The 18,339-nt window shown below is 35.7% G+C and overlaps 1 protein-coding gene across 11 annotated transcripts in view; it reads left to right on the top strand.

Annotated features, from left to right (window-relative positions):
- The window catches only part of ZPBP (zona pellucida binding protein), a 252,593-nt gene that overhangs the window by 93,582 nt on the left and 140,672 nt on the right, over positions 1 to 18,339 (top strand). For 10 of the 11 annotated variants that reach the window (XR_001744543.2, XM_011515097.2, XM_011515100.3 and 7 more), the window contains one exon: positions 16,146 to 16,323. The exons of the other annotated variant lie outside the window; for it this stretch is intronic. Coding sequence is in view for 9 of the 10 variants with exons in the window: in XM_011515097.2 (XP_011513399.1) it covers positions 16,146 to 16,323 (178 nt within the window). In the remaining variant the exon portion in view is untranslated. The remainder of the gene's footprint in view (positions 1 to 16,145; positions 16,324 to 18,339) is intronic. 11 annotated transcript variants of the gene reach the window in all.

The raw sequence follows: 18,339 nt of genomic DNA, 5'->3' as shown, positions 1-18,339 counted from the left end.
CCTTCCCTCAAACATTAGTGCTCCTGATTCTTAGGCCTTAGGACTTGGATTGGGACTTAGACCATCATCTTTTGGTTCTCAGACCTTTGGACTTGGACTGGAATTTACACCACTGGCTTTTCTGGTTCTCCAGCTTGCAGATGGTAAAGTGTGGGACTTCTTGTCCTTCATAATTGCATGAACAAATTCCCATAGTAAATCTTGGAGATCTACTCCTTGTATTATACATATCAAATAATATTATACTGACTACAACTGGGCATTCTTTGGCGCAGTCAGCTTGACACATAAAAATCACAGGATAATAGACTATCTTTCTCCTCACCAGCTTTTGAAGCAAAAATTATAACACCACCACATTATATACATATGATATATATAGTATATATATATACACACACATATATAAAAATATATATACAGACACACACACATGCATATATATATATATATGGAGACTTATTATAGGAATTGGAGAGTTATTATATAAATGTGTGTCTGTGTATGTATGTATATGCGGCAGGTTGAGTATCCCTTACCCAAAATGCTTGGGACCAGAAGTGTTTTGGGTTTTGGATTTTTTCAGGTTTGGGAATATTTGTGTTAAAATTACCAGTTCAGCATTCCTAACTCAAAAATACAAAGTTCAAAAATGCTATGATGAGCTTCTTGCCAGGACTCAAAAAATTTTGGATTTTGAACCATTTCAGGTTTCAAATTTTCAAATTAGAGATGCTCAACCTGTGTGTGTGTGTTTGTGTGTGTGCATTTGTGTGTGGTGTGCACTCATGTACACTATTCTATTTCTCTGAAGAACCCCAACTAATACTGTTTTTGGTAACAAGAGCGGTTCTAGAGGAACAGAATTTTAAGAGTAAGTTTTCTGAAATAGTTCTGGAGTTTCTGGAATTGGCTCTCTAGTCTTACTAGATTTAAAGATACTAATCACTCTGAATCTCATCTGGTTCTGGAGTTTCTGGAATTGGCTCTCTAGTCTTACCAGATTTAAAGATACTAATTACTCTGATTCTCATATTAAAGAGAGCACTGAGAGTCTGTAGCAGGAAGTATTTATTGAGATGTGAAAATTATGTACTGTGGATACTTGTAGTTAATCACTTATAAGAAGCAAGGAGCCTGGTGACTCTGTATAATACTTCTGAACATTTTTGAAAATTTATGGAATTCAATGATATTTCTTATTTTTTCCTAATGTCACTGGACAAAATAGTAAAAGGAAAGGGTTAGCTCAGATATTTGAATTCCCGGCTCAAGTATCACATAAATGGCTTCAGACGTTCCAGGTGTGCCCTGAAGCGGAGAGTCTTATCTCCTATAGCTGCAGGGCCGAATATCAATTGCAGGATCCCATCCTGTGACTGGCCAAATTACAAAGCAAATTGAACTCTCAGCTTCACAAGGTATCTACTGTTAAAATAAGGGCATTTAGGCTGGGCGTGGTGGTTCACGCCTGTAATCCTAGCACTTTGGGAGACCGAGGTGGGTGGATCACGAAGTCAGGAGTTTGAGACCAGCCTGGCCAATATGGTGAAACCTTGTCTCTACTAAAAATACAAAAATTAGCTGGGCGTGGTGGCGTGCGCCTGTAGTCCCAGCTGCTTGGGAGGCTGAGGCAGGAGAATTGCTTGAACCCAGGAGGCAGAGGTTGCAGTGAGCTGAGATCACACCACTGTACTCCAGCCTGGATGGGAGAGTGAGACTCTGTCTCAAAAATAAATGAATAAATAAATAAATAAATAAAGACATTTAATTGAGAAAGAATGGGATCCTTTAAGGTGGGATGGGGACATTTTGCAAGCCACTGATGAAATTGAAAATATTGAGCCCCTAAATTCTGATGAGTCTTCTTTGCCAGCACAAGTGGCTTCTCTAACCACAGTGAAAAGTGGCTTGTTCAGCCCTAATGACAGTGGTGTTCCACCTACAGTGGGGCCTCCCTTCCAATGGTGGTATCTGCCTTTCCACTTCCCTCTGAGGTGATTAATCCTACATTGCCTGAGGACATGGTAATGGCTTCCCCCGAAGCAGTTGCCATGCAAGAAAATGCTGATTTTCGTCAGGAAACAACACTAATACCTCCCTTTACTTCTAGACCTGTAATTGGATTCAAGTCCTAGAAGACCCTTAAAGGTGAGGCACAAAGTGTGACCAATGAGGGAGGTGGCCATACTTCAAAATAACTACTTAAGTTTTCTAATTTATGCAAGTAGAAATCTAAGGAAAATGTGTGTGAATGAATGTTAGAGCTATGGGGTATTAGATGTTAAAGGTGGATCAGGCCATATTTACTGATATGGGCTCACTAAGCAGACATTCTGCAGTTAATATTGTAGCTCATGGAGTTAGAAGGGGCCTAACAGTTTGATTGATTCGCTGAAACATGGGTCAAAATATGGCTGGCTCACTGTAAGTGAATTAGAAATGCCTGATCTCTCTTGGTTAATGTAGACAAAGGAATTCAAAGGTTTAGGGAGATTGGAATGCTGAAGTCAATTTGTGATTTAAGACCTACTCACTCACATTGGTAGGGCTCAGAAGACATATCTTTCACCAATGCTATGAAAAATAAATGTGGGAGCAGAGCCCAGCATCCTTGAAGAACTCAATAGTTAATTGCTCTTCTCTGTAGGCCAGACTTTACAGTGGGAAACACAGTCAATCAACTGGAAGCCTAAATGCAACGGAAGTAATTGGATTCAGAGTTAATAGTAATTTAGCAGAGACTAAGTGAGAAACTCAACCACCAAAGGCAAGGTGGGCATAGTAAGCCTAAGGGACAGCAGAGTCAAGGCAGCCATCAGCATAGTCTGACATATGCAGACGTATGGCATTGTCTAGTTAATGATGGTGTTCCTAGAAGTGAAATAGATGAGACACCTACTAAATTGCTACTTGATTTGTTTAGGTAGAAAAGTTCCAGGTCAAATGAACAAAGTCTAACTCATAAAATAAAAGCAGAAGATCAAGTCACCTCAATCAGTTCCTAGGCTTGAACCAGTTTACAGACTCAGACCACCTTGAATTGGTGACTGGATCCCCTTGTGAAAAGACCCTAGTAAACAACCAAAAATTTACACTGTTAATCTTTCTCCCAGCCTTCCCTAATGGGACTTAATGGCCTTTTACTAGGGTAACTGTGTCTTGGGGAAAAGGAAATAATCAGATCTTCCAGGGACTTATGGACTTGACTCTGAACTGACATTGATTCCAAGACTCAAAATGTCCCTGTGGCCCTCCAGTCAGAGTAAGGATGTGTGGAGGTCGGGTAGTCAGTAGAGTTTTAGTTCAGGTCCATCTCATGGTAGTTCCATGGGTCCCCAAACCCACCCTGTGGTTACTTCCCCAGTTCCAGTTGCATAATTGGAACAGACATATTTAGCAGCCGGGAGAACCCCTGCAAAGTTTTGTGACCCGTGGAGTGAGGGCTATTATGGTGAGAAAAGCCAAGTGAAAGCCATTAGAGCTGCTATTATCTAGGAAAATAGAAAGTCTTTAATGCATAATATTTGTACATATTGACGGGATACATGTAATATATTGTTAAATGTATAGAATGCATAATGATCAAGTCAGGACATTTACAATATCTATCACCTCGAGCATTTATTAATTTAATGTGTGGGAATACTTGAAGTCCTTTTTGAAATATAAAATGCATTGTTGTTAACTATAGTCACCCTACTTTGCCATGGAACGTTAGAATTTGTTCCTTCTGTCTAACTTTATGTTTGTATCCATTAATGAAACTCTCTTCACTGCCCGCCCCCAAACCCTCTTCCCACCTTCTGGTAACTGTCATTCTACTTTCTACCTCCTTGAGAACAACTTTTTCGTTCCCACATACGAATGAGAACATATGATATTTGTCTTCTGTGACTGGCTTGTTTCACGTAACATAATGGTCTCCAGTTTTATTGATGTTGTTGAAAATCACAGGATTTCATTCTTTTTATGGCCAAATAGTATTCATTATGTATATATATCACAGGAAAATAGTAAATTAAAGCAATGCTGAATTCTTGGGAGGATTGCAGAGTTTACTGCCATCATCAAGGACTTAAAAGATGCAGATGTGGTGATCCGCATTTATCTCTCCTATTTGGCCTGTGCAGAAAATGGATAAATCTTGGAGAATGACTGTGGATTATTTTAAGGTTAACCAAGTGGTGATTCCAGTTGCAGCTGTTATACCAAACGTGGTTTTATTGCTTGGGCAGATTACAACATCTCCTGGTGCCTGATCTGTAGCTGTTGATCTGACAGATACCTTTTTTCCATCCCTGTCCATAAGGCCCACCAGAAGCAGTTTGTTTTCAGCTGAGAAAACCAGCAATACACCCTCAGTGTCCTGCCTCAGAAGAATATCAACTCCCCAGCTCTATGTCATAATTTGGTTGTCAGAGATCTTGATCACCTTTTCCTTTCACAAGATATCACGCTGGTCCATTATGATGACATTATGCTAAGTGGAGATATTGAGTGAGAAGTAGCAATTACTTTAGACTTATTGATAAGATATTTTATGTGTCAGAGAGTGAGAAATAAATCTGATTAAAATTTGGGGACCTTCTGCCTCAGTGAAATTTCTAGGGGTTCAATGGTATGAGGCCTCTTGAGATAACACTTATAGGGTGAAGGGTATGTTGTTGCATCTGGGTCCTCCTTCAATCAAAAAAGGGGTACAATGCCTAGGAGGCTTATTTATATTTTAGAGGCAACATATTCCTCATTTGGGTGTGTTACTCTGGCACATTTACATAGTCACCTGATAGCTGCTAGGTTTGATGGGCCCAGAACAAGAGAAATGGATCTACGACAGGTCTAGGCTGTTGTACAAGCTTATGTGCCATGTAGGCCATAAGATCCAGCAAATCCGATGGTGGTTGAAGTATCAGTGGCTGATAAGGATGCTGCTTGGAGCCCTTGACAGGCCCTAATATGTGAATCATATCACAGGCCTTTAGAATTTCGGAGGAAGGCCCTGACATCTGCCAGTAATTACTCTCCTTCGGAGAGACAGCTGCTTCTACAGGGCCTTAGGAAATATTGAATGCTTGACCATGGTCCACCAGGTTACCATGTGACCTGAGCTACCCATCATGAACTGGGTGTTATTTAACCCACTAAGCCATAAAGTTGATCATGCACAGCAATACTGTTATCAGATGGAGGTGGTATTCACTTGACTGGGCCTGAGCAGACCTTGAAGCACAAGTAAATTAGTGCAGAAGTGGCTCAAATGCCCATGTTCCCCATTCCTGCTGCACTGCTTCTCTCTCCCAGGCTGAACCTATGGCTTCATGGCGAGTTCTCTATGATCAGTTGACAGAAGAAGAGCTCAGGCCTGGTTTACAGATGGTTCTCAACAATATGCAGGACCACCCAAAAGTGGGCAGCTATTGGACTACAGCCTCCTGCCTGGGACATCCCTGAAGGACAGTTGTGAAGGGAAATCTCAGTGGGGAAAACTTTGGGCAATGCATCAAAACTGTGCAATTGGAACGAATAATGGCCAGATGTGAAATTATATATTAATTCTGGGCTGTCGCCAGTGGTTTGGCTGGATATTCAGTGACTAGGGAAGATGATGATTGGAAATTTGGTGACAAAGATATTTGGAGAAGAGGAATGTGGAAAGACCTCTCTGAATGGGCAGAAAGTGAAGATATGTGTGTCTCATGTGAATGTTCATGGGTGACTACAGCAAAGGAGAATTTTAATAAGGCAGGGGATGGGATGACCCCTTTTGTGGATACTATCAGCCTTTCTCCTCAGCTACCAGTCATGTCCCAATGTGCTCATGAACAACATGGCCATGGTGGCGGGCATGAGATTATGCATGGGTTCAGCAATATGGATTCCCATTCACTAAGCCTTGTATGACTGTGGCCACCATTAAGTGCCCAGTCTGCCAACAACAGAAACCCACACTGAACCCTTTTACATGGCACCATTCTTCATGGTGATCAGCCAGCTACCTGGTGACAGGTTGATTACATTAGGCCCCATTCATCAGTGAATGGGAAGATTTTTGTTCTAAGTATTTCTTATTTAATGTTGTTACACATATTTTTAAATTTTATTTTACAATTTATTGTTTTTAATATAGAGAAAAACATTTATTGTTCATAGACTATAGTTGGTGACTGCTTTTCAATCCAGTTGCCAATCGGTTCATTTTAATTGGAATGTTTCAATCAATTGTGTTTAATTTAGTTATCAATATATTTGGATTTAAATCCAACATCTTGTCATTTCTTTCTATTTTTCCTATCTGTTCTTTGTAGCCCTTTTCCTTTTATTTTGCCTTCTTTAGATTGTGTCTTTTAAAAAATGATTCCTTTTCATAGCTCTACCTTGGTAGTTTCTTTATTATTTACATGTCACAATTATTATTCTATATGGATTGATTTTCAGCATTCTCTTATGTATAATTTATCCTGGTTTTCTGTTCTTCAGATTTTCCTCTTTTAATTGATTAAACTTTTTTTACCTTATTTTTCTGTTTGATGTTGTACACTTTAAATATTTATTTTAGTGGTTTTGCTTCAAGTTTTAACATATGTACCAGGCAGCAGTCCTGAAAATTAGTTTATTTTACACTCCTGAAATATACAAGGCCTTAAGAACCTTTAACTCTCCTGACTTGCTTTTATCTTTCACTGTTTTAGTTTCTAGTATTTTAGTTCTATTCCTTTTATTTTTCTACTTGTTATTGTTTCAGAATATCAGTGTCTGTTTAGATTTACCCACAATTTTATTTATTTATTTGCTTTTCTTCGTATATTTTAGTCCTTCCTTCTCTTGTCATTTTTCTTCCAGAATTTATTGTGCCTCCCAGATCTGAGGATTCATTGGCTGTCAGCAGTTAAGAAACATTTTCAGCCAGAATTGTTTTGAAAATTCCGTTTTCTACATTTGCTTTTCTGTTCAGCGGTACACTTGCAATAAATGCATTTTATGTAAATTATATCATATCTCAATGAAGTTATCTAAAATAATGAAATTTCTATTCACTATAATTTGGATTTTCTCATTGATTTCTCCATCTCTCTTATACTATTGTAATATTTTTTTCTAGCTGTTTATGTTTTTCATGTTGAATATTATCTTCAGATATTCATTGTGTTTCATTATTGTGGCTACATTTAGGTCTAATCTGCTGCTAAAGCTGTCCATTTAATTTTTAATTTCACTCCATTCATTATGTGTTTTCAAATAGTTTATTTTTCAAATGTGTTTCCTCTCTTTTCATGATACAGATTCCCTTGTGTTTTCATTCCATTTTAAGCTTATATATTTTAAATATACTTTTAAAATCATTTTGTATGTTATGTAACTGATATTCAGTTATCTGAATTGCTTGATGATCTAATTTGGCTGGTGTGGCTTCGATGTTTCTTCATTTCATCATTTACTTCATAATTCTGGTTGATAAAGCCATGCTTTTTAGACCTTTATCAGTAAGTAGATAGCCACTTTGGTCTAAGAAGTCATACTGGAGTTTTCCTCCTCCAACCTCTCTACCCTCCCTGCCTCTACCACCCTCTAAGAATCCTTGTTTTCTCCCCTTTGTAATCAAATTTATTTTCTTTGTCCACTGTGAATTAGGGACATAGCTATCGTTAGGTTTGTAGTTTTCTCCTCAGTTTTAGCTCTCATCTCCTTTTCCTTCTTTCTCTCCCTTCCTTCCTACATTCTTACTTTTCTTTTTCCCTCTTTCCCTCTCTTTCTTCCCTTTCTCCCACCCTCTCTTACTGTAGAAATGTGTCTACACAAAATCTGTGTTTCAGTTAGGTGATTTTTGACGGGAGGTTTTCTCAGGGTATCTAGGACACCACAAGGCTAAAAATAGACATATTTTTCCTATTTTTAAATTTCATTTCTACCTGCCCACTCTCTGTCTCATCTGCTTTTTTCAGTGAGAAATATACTACTTAAAAAAAACTTAATATGCCAGTTTACCTCTCTAATAATTTCAAAATATAAATTATAATTTGTCTTTAATCTTTCTTTTGAAGAGCCTGATTTTCTAGTGCAAGTTTCAGTTTCTGGAGAAAAAACAAAGGAAGAATGGATTGTTTTGCTTTTTGCTTCAGGATTGAAGTTGTCCCGACATTGCAAAGTGAAAATTTTCTGATCTGAAGTTTTAGGATTAATTATGTTTCTTAGGAGTGAATTCCAGCTTTCATAGAATTCAGATTATATAACCCTTACTTTCTTCCTCATTCCTTTGCTTTTGCTCTCAAATTTAGCTCAATCTCATATATCTCCGCCTAATTCAGTAATATGAGATCACATTATTGCTGTTCTGATGTTCCTAACAAGAGAGGGACAATTTTGAGTTTCTGGTTAATCACTTTTTATAGTTATCTGTAGAGACTTTATGTTATAAAGTCTGTACACCCCATCTCTTATTTGCATTCTGAGCATCAAAATAATCCCTTTCCTACAAAAATTCACATTTCTCTCCAGTTCATTCAAGACACCTTTGTGTTTCCATCTCCTTTTTAAAATTATTTTTCCAACCCCTTTTGATTATTACAGTCATTTATCCCAGAGATTCCCAAATATGGGTGTTAATCAGAGATATTCAAAGAACTCTATTTTATAAGTATAATATCTGTAACACCTTGTAAATACTAGTTCTCCCCTAGTGGATATTTGAGCCCTAGTTGGACTATAATCCTGTATGATATCTGTTGCCTATCCTAAAACACCCATAATGCTAGTTGCTGCCTTCTTGTTAGACTAATTAGTTAACTAATCTTGTTAACTAATCTTGTTAGACTTCTTGTTAGGTGTGTTAGACCAATCTAGAACATATATTAAAGCTGTTCCAGTCATATTTATTCACAATGAGCTTGGCATGGCCAGTAGGACAGATTGTAGTAATTAAAATAAGCTGTTCATTTTCATGCAAAAATGTGTTTATTTTACAGATTGCTCATTGTTGAAACAGTAACAGTTTTTTTTTTGTTTCCTGAACCATCAACCAATTATTGTAAAACATAGTCCCCCCCCATATATACTTAATCCCTCTATAAAGCTTTTCTTTTCAGGGGACGTTTTTTTCAAAGGAGTCCCAGGGTTGCAGGGTGCATTCCAAAGGGGTACAGACTGAAGATGAATGGCTACTCATCTAGAAAGAGGGGAGCGACTCATCCCAGTTTCCCTTCTCTTCCTAGTGAATATCCAGGGTATATGAGGACGAGAAAGTGAGGCATCCCTCTTTCTTTCATCCGTCCTTGTATCCCTGAGTCTGGTGACTACGACAGGGTGCTTTCCATGGGTGTCAAAGCGGCTTTCACCCATATTAATGGGGTGCCCAAGGGGGTGGGAATATCTGCTCTTACCCACATACGCCCTATCCCCTCTGCTGTCAGTAGCCTTTGAGTTTTCTAGACCTCATTTATGCCATGGATACTAGAATGACATTTATCCATGAAACAGGAGGTTTGGCTTAATCAGCAGGAATTAGTCATGCTTACCTGTTCTGTGCCTTTTAACTTCCATTATTGTCTGCCTCTGGATCCCTTAGATCCAGTTTTCTTTCCTAGGGCTTTGACCTGAAGCTTGGAATTGAATTTGGGACAAAAATGTGTTTTGGGGGGACTCTTTATCATAAACTGAATGCTAAGGTGAAGCTGTAAAATTGAGTCCTCTTCCAACAAGGGAGAGAAAAGGATATCCTGTGACATGCCAAGAAAACTGGCAGCTATAGTTATGCTTGCTAAGATTGGGTGATGGGTCTTGACTTTGTTTGGCTCCCTTGATCTTGCTTTCCTAAAAAGGAAAACTCTGAGTAATGGGCACCCTATTTATTCCTATCACCTGGCAGAATTTTCAGGATAATTGCTCAGAACTAGAATATTGATCCAGATTTTTACATTACCCATACCCCTTTTTTCCTTCTGGTCTGCAGTCAGAGATTACTGGTTGGTTCACAGGAATAAGCAGGGTTACTCTAAAATGTAGGCAAAAACTTAAAAGCAACTAATGAATGTAGATTTTGATGACAAATGTATGATAAGTTTTGAAACAGAATTTCTCTCTCTCTAGTCCTCATTTTTGTTAAAAACAAATCATGATAGGACTAACTTGTTTGCAAAATAGACTTTAGTCTTATACTTGGCCTGATTATTTGCATAAAGTGCAGCAAGAATAATTATTTTTACATAGACCTTTTGGATTCACTTTGATGGAACTCTGTTCCACAAGGAATCTCAGATAGGACTTTCTAAAGCCAAGCCCAGCCATGGGTTTGTACCCTCAAACCTGTGAGTTGGGCAAACTCCTCTCTTCTTGAGGTCCCTAGAGCATGGGGTTCCCGGGCCTGTTAGAAACTGACATTCTTTACTTTCCACAGGTTAGGAACCCCGTACAGGGACTGTGTACACAAGGTATGAGGCCAGTTTCTCCCATGGGACCTTTATCTGCAAGTCGAGCTTGATTCCTTAAAGGGAAGCATACCCTTCCAGTCAAAGCCTTGGTAAAACAACCAATTTCTCCAATTGCATTCCTGTTGCAAAAGAAAATGGATCCTTATTGTACTGATGCAAACAACTATAACGGCATAAATTAAGAATACTCAGAACTAGTTTCCAAATTCTGAAGAAGCCATGCACAGAGAGAGAGAGACAAATATGCTCCAAATTTTGTTCATAGGAGTATAACTTACTCAATTATTAAAGGTCATAAATAGCTCAAAATAAGCTTCCTTGACTCTGAAAAACAAAACAAAGATCAGCAATGTTCCAATCAAAAGTCATTACTGAAAACATTACTTCAGTTTTCTATTAATTCAGTCCATTCAGTTAACTCTTGTTTTGCTTGATATTTGTGAACATTTCAACTCTTCCTGAGTCCTGTATGTTTTTCCTTTATTCCAATGTCACAATCTCCAGAGTTTTCAGAAACCTGCATTTGAGACTGCCTGTCAGAGTTTTGTGGCTGATTATAGACCATCCTTTGAAGAGGATTAAAATAAGACAACAATTATCTGTGAATAATAGAATGTCCATGGTAGTTACAGTTAGAAACATGACTAACAAAGAAATTTGGTTATCTCTGTGGTTTATAATAACTTAGCATAACAACCTTAATTGTGATTGATAGCATATACTCAGAATTTTAGAAATCCCATACAATTTTGGAACACAAATTAACATTATTACATAAAATATAACCTAAAGAAGATTAAGCATCATTTTGGCAATCCCATGTACCTAAACATGTCAAATAATCTTGTTTACCACTCTTCTAGATGCTCCAGGGGCCCTCTGTAGCATCTAAAAGCTAGGTGTCAGGAAAGACAATTTTTGAAACTGAGGTTTGATTTGAGGAGGCTTGTTAAGTATGTTAGAGGCTTAAAACACTTGATGATATGAAAGAATTCCAAATTTCCATATTATTTATTTTTCTAAAATGATGACTTAGAATTTTTTTAAAAGCAAAAACCTTGTATAACCTTTTACAGATTTAGCTAAAGAGCAGATTAGTGCATTAAGAGTATTTTGTTATGCTTTTAATGCTTAATTTACAGAAAAACCATATAATACTCTGTTGAATTTAATGTATTCACACATGAAATTTCTTTCGCAAGATTAATTTTTACAATTCTTCCACAACTTGTTTGAACTTTTAGCTTTATCTTATCTAATTCAAAACAGTCCTTTAACCCTAGGTAAAAATTTACATTTTGACAACATCTGCATTTTACCAATAGTCTTTAAGGCTGTTTTTATTTTTCAAAAATTAATGTCACGTGAACTAAAAGGTCCCACAGCTTTTATTTTCCTTTTAAAAAATATTTGATCCAAGTGCTTATCCTTCAAATCAGTTAATTAGAGCTCTTTTTTATAGACATTGCACACACACACACACACACACACACACACACACACACACACACAACACATATATAACTACACAGAAAGGCAGAAGAAGATCCAGTAACTATTTAGACTGTTTGCCAGTCTCCTAATTGGATTATTGGCCTCTGGATGGAACTCTCTAAGGCTAAAAAGGCTTAAAGCAAGGCTAGGAAAGCATGCAGTTTCCAGGGCCTAATAAACAGGTATAGCTGGAAGATTAAAAACAGATTTTGAGAGGGATCTAGCCACCTCTAATTCCTAGGACTCCTTTAGGAAAACAGAGGTCTCTCCCAAAATGGAATTTGTGGCACCTTTTCTGTTTTTCCCAAGGATTCCCAGGCCATGAGAAATCATCTTGGGGCCTCTCATGCACCCATTAAGATAGGCAAGGCAAAATGGAGAAAAATAGTTTAGTCGACTGAGAAAAAAATCTTTTTCCAGGAAAATAAAGTTTAGGAAGAGAAAAACATAAAGGCCTTTTAAATATACTTATAACTTGGATATCCACTTTGAATTAAGCTGAGTGCTCTTTAAAAAAATCCTTTTAAATCCCTTATTACCTGACTTTATCCATGCCAAACAACCAATATTTGTAGCTTTGAAACTTTATCAAAGGTAATCTCCCAGGTGCTCAGAGAGGAAAATTCAAGGTGGTTCGTGGAGGGGAAGAGAATCAACAAATGTCAAAGGTCACACAGATATCAAACCAGAAAGGACTCACTCCCTAAGCCAAGATTGAACCCAGGCCGCCGCTGTAAAATGTTGGAGGCTAAAAGCACTGCCACCTGCTTACAGGTCATGCTTCCAAGGACATAAAACAAGATGAAGGCCTGCAGCGAAGTTTGCCACTGACCAGTTTACCAGACTGTCTTTAATAGAGGGCCTATGGAGTCCTGGGCCCATATCCCATCCTAAGATACCCCTCTTTTTGACAGAACCGTAAAGACATGTGAACCACTCCAGATTGGCTATAACTTAAGACCAGCCTCACAAATCCTTTTTCATAAATAAAACTTTATGGAGAATATAAACAGTGATAGTTGGGGTCCTGGCCTAGTAAAATGTCTTCTAAAAGGAAAAAAGCCTTTTGCATAAAAGTTAACTCTTGACCTGGTGGAGAAAAAAAAAAGAAAAACAGCTTAAAGTTCAGGGCTGTGTTAACTGAGGGAAGAACCTCTTATTCTTATGCGAATGGTTCTTCCAACAAGGAGGGAAACTTAATTGCTGTTTCTTCCCTGGGGCTGGAACAGAGCTGGACTTCTTGGCCAAGGGAGGGGAAGACACTGTGGATACACACGTGGCAGGGAATGCTGGCCAGCCTGCCACGCAGGACCCTTTGGGCATGGGCCCCAGCCCCAGCTGGGAGGGAAGGGGGAATGGGGTGCTGCTGCTTGCCTTTCAGTCCCATGGGTGCCTGCGGCCATTGTGGTGGGGTGGTGCCATTACACTCCTGAAAAAAAGAAGGAAAATGCTGTAGAAAAGGCTGGGTTAGACCAAGGTTGACATTCCTGACCCCCAGGAGCAACGGAGGGTGGGGGATACAGTTTCTTCTACTCTCAGAAGTCCAAGGACAAAAAGGCTCAGATACAAGAGGGGAAAAGATGCTTTGATCTGCATTTTACTCACCTTTCTTCATGTCCCCACATGGGCCACCAAAATGATGCAAGATATTTTGCTCCTTAGTTCAGCTAAAATCTAGGTCCTTATCACACAACCAGGAAAAATTAGGTGCATGGACACATTGAAAGTTTGAGGAGAGCAGAATTTATTAAAGAACGCTCTCAGTGAAAAAAAAGGGGTTCTGCCAGCAGGCTCCCAACTCACAGATTGCATACCAGGTCACCACACACACCAGCTGAAGGGGCCAGGTCTCTTCTCACTGCTTAAGGCATGAATCCCCAGTGGCTGCACCCCATTTTCCCAGTGTGCAGGCAGGCCCCCAGTCTGTTGCCAGCATGTGCAGACAAGACCCTTGGCAGGTTCCCACATCTGCACAAAAGCATCTGATGTAAACACTTGTGGGGCGGGTTGGGGATTCTCCAGGGATCCTCCCTTATCTGCCTCCTGCATCTATCACTAGGTTTTCTCAGGTCTAACTTCATTTAGGTTTTTTTTTTTTTTTTTTTGCATGGGGTATTAGGAAGCCTAATTAGGCTCTGTGTGATGTAATCTGAGTGATTAGGAATGTGTCTCCTGACACTTTTAATTATAGTCTCAAATTTAAATGCAATTAATTTCATAACACATATTTTGAGTATCCTTTATCTGAAATGGTTGGAACCAGAAGTATTTTAGATTTCAGATATTTTCAGATTTTGAAATACAGTAAATCTTCACTTAATTTCATCAATAGGCTTCTGGAAACTGCAACTTTAAGCAAAATGACATATCACAAAATAAATTTTACCACAGGCTAAATGATATAAACAAGAGTTAAGTTCCTCTGGCATATTTCTGGTTGCAAAAATATCACCACATTTTGAAATAAAGACCCAAAACATTTTTAATATTAAACATTGAAATAAATGTGAGAAATACATATATTTAAGAAAGAGTAATAAAAACAAAGTATAATAATTATTTACTTGTTCCAGTTCAGTGTCACAGGTGGCTGGAGCCTATTCAGGTAGCTCAGCGCTCAAGGTGGGAACCAACGCTGGACAGGGTACCATTCCATCACAGGGTGCACTCACACACATCCACACTTACTCCCAGGGGGACAATTTAGCCATGCCAATTAATGTAACGTGCATCTTTGAGATGTGGGAGGAAACCAGAGTACCTGGAGAAAACTCATGCAGACATGAGGAGAACATGCAGACTCCACATGCACAGTGGCCTAGCTAGGAAGCATTTTTTTTCTCTTCAACATTATAACAAAATGACATTGAAGGAAAGGACATTATTTGAGGACCTGCTGTATTTGCATATATATAAAATGAGATATCATGGGGATGGAACCCAAATCTAAATAGAAAATTTATTTATGTTTCATATATACCTTATACTAGGGGTCCCCAATCCCCAGGCCTCGGACCAGTACCAGTCCATGGCCTGATAGGAAACAGGCCACACAGCAGAAGGAGAGTAGCAGCAAGCGAACGTTACTGCCTGAGCCCCGCTTCCTGTCAGATCAGTGACAGCATTAGATTCTCATTGGATCACAAACCCTATTGTGAACTCCACATGGAAGGGATCTAGGTGGCACGCTCCTTATGAGAATCTTAATGCCTGATTATCTAAAGTAGAACAGTTTCATCCCAAAAACATCCTACCACCCTGGTCTGTGAAAAAACTGTCTTCCATAAAACCATTCCCTAGTGCCAAAAAGGTTATGAACCACTGCCTTATATAGATAACCTGAAAATAATTTTATGCAATATTTTAAGTTACTTTATGTGTGAGACAGAGTTATTATTTTATCACCCTTTGTGGGTGTTTTTGCATGGGAGAACCTGGACATTATAGAAATTGTAATGGAAGAGGTGTAATTTACAAGATATTGGAAGAACTCAGTAGACATGAGGTGCACCATTAGTAGTTATAGATCAGCCTGTGTGGTCCATTTATCCCTGCTCCTGACTAGATTGGAGGTGCTAGTTAGTGTGGCAGAATGAGTAGAACTAACTAGCTTGTAGCAGTTTGAATTTATGCGTACCTCATACTTGAATGCATAGATCTTAGCAGTCAGAGAAGTCTAAGGCTCTTGTTAATTTTAGGAGGCAAGCCAGTATAATTATTACAAACATAAAGATAATTATAGATCAGAATGATGCTTTATTTTTTTAGATTTAATTTTTGAAACAGAGCTAGAAGTTATATATTTTTTTGTTTTTAAATTAAATTTTTCTTTGTGAAAAGAGTTGATGTTGTGCCTCAGGATAAGCTTCTTACAGATGCTTATAATATATTATTTTAAAGTACATTACATTTCTTAATCAATTTCAAAGAGCTTTCTTGATTTTGCTCATATACTTATTCCTGTATTATTCAAAATACAAAGGGACCAAAAAGAAATCTTCAAATGATTTCTTTGCATTGTAATTGGAAGTGCATTTAGAAATATTTGATGTTTATAGATGACATCTTTTCAGTTTTGTGTGTTTTATTTATAGTCTGTGAGTGCAAGAAAAAATAATGACCTTGAGACTTTGTTTTCTTTAAATTCTAAATCCACATGCATCCTTATTTGTTCTAAAATTACATTTTTTATGGCTAACAGTTTATCAAATTGTATTTATGTTTTAGGCTAAAAATCTCATAGAGAGATTTTTTAATCAACAAGTAGAAATTCTTGGCAGACGTGCAGAACAATTACCTCAAATATACTATATTGAAGGTACTCTCCAAATGGTTTGGATTAATCGCTGCTTTCCAGGATATGGAATGAATGTCCAGCAACATCCAAAATGTCCTGAGTGCTGTGGTATGTAATGAATTATGATTTCATGTTTTATATTGTTGAAAATTTATGTGTTTTCATTAAGCCTAAGTGAATGCATATCACTTATTTTTACTATCATTTAGGTATTTTTTCATAGTTTATTTAAAGTAGTGTATTTGAAAAGTGAATCTAAAGATGTGAAAGAAAAACAGTCTGGCTTAATTTTGGCCTTGGTATTAATATTACAGCAAGGGAGTTTAGGATCATTAGGCAGTTATCTGGGAGGAAACACAAATAATAGTTATGAGTCACTTAGAGTTCCTGACTTTAAAAAAAGCCAATTAATATATCTTTTAGAATCTACTATTGATGAGTTTAGGTTTGTATAGTCTACAGTAGATATCTTTGTGACTTTTTCCTTCCTTGTGAAATAAGTATATGAATTGTTTTATTACCAATTGTTTTTTCTAACTTTTGGTCCTAGCACTACAGGATCTGAGCTGCTCTCTGACATTCATTCTTTCTTTTTCATCTTTACTATAGAAGAGAGTTCTGTAGAGGCTGTTGACTTAGATTGAGCACATGAATTCAAAGTCTTTGCATTTCTATTATTGAGAGATTAATGGGCCAATTAATTTTCAGTCTTAAAAGAGTTTTAACAATTTATACTAATATCACTAAATTTATACCTGTCTTAGTCTGTTTCATATTGCCATAAGAGAATACTTGAGCCTTGATAGTTTATAAAGGAAAAAAGTTTATTTGTCTCACGATTCTGATGGCTGAGAAGTTTGAGATTGAGCATTCAGTGAGGGTCTTCCTTTTGCTTTGTTTTCTTTGACTTGGCTACAGTTATCTTTATAATTTTTTTGTGTTTCATTATTGTTTAAAAATATGAAGTTTCACAAAAATATAGTACACAGGAATATTAGGAAATAGAATACAAATTAAACAAATGACTTCCAACTGTTAACTTTGTAACTTTTTAAAATCAGTGATTATATATATTATGTATTATATATTATATATAATTATATATTATGTATTATATATTATATAATTATATATTATATAATTATATATTATATATATTATGTATAATTATAAATTATATATAATATATAATATAAATATATAATATAATTATATTATATATTATATATTACATTATATATATATATAATAAATATATATAATAATAAATTATATATATATAATATATATTATATATTATATATTTTATATAAATATTTATATTAATATATAAATATTTATAATTATATAATTATATAATTCATATAATTATATAATTATATAATTCATATAATTATATAATCTATATAATTCATATAATTATATAATCTATATAATTCATATAATTATATAATCTATATAATTCATATAATTATATAATCTATATAATTCATATAATTATATAATCTATATAATTCATATAATTATATAATCTATATAATTCATATAATTATATAATCTATATAATTCATATAATTATATAATCTATATAATTCATATAATTATATAATCTATATAATTCATATAATTATATAATCTATATAATTCATATAATTATATAATCTATATAATTCATATAATTATGTAAAATTATAATATATAATATATAATATACCATATATAATTTATATTATATATAATATATTATATATAATTATATATATTATTATATATAATATATAATATATATTTTATATCAAGATATTATATAATATATAATATAATATAATATAATATAATTATATAATTTATATAATTATATAATATATAATTTATATAATTATATAATATATAATTTATATAATTATATAAAATTATAATATATATTATATAATATACCATATATAATTTATATTATATATAATATATATTATATATAATTATATATATTATTATATGTACATAATATATATTATATATATTTTATATTATATATTATATATATTTTATATATAATATATATAATTATATATAATATATATAATTATATATAATATATATTATATAATATATATAATTATAATA

This window comes from Homo sapiens, chromosome 7, assembly GCF_000001405.40.
Source record: "Homo sapiens chromosome 7, GRCh38.p14 Primary Assembly".
NCBI lineage: Eukaryota > Metazoa > Chordata > Mammalia > Primates > Hominidae > Homo > Homo sapiens.
The sequence above is the reverse complement of the archived record's forward strand: the minus strand, read 5'-3'. Positions and strand labels throughout refer to the sequence as shown.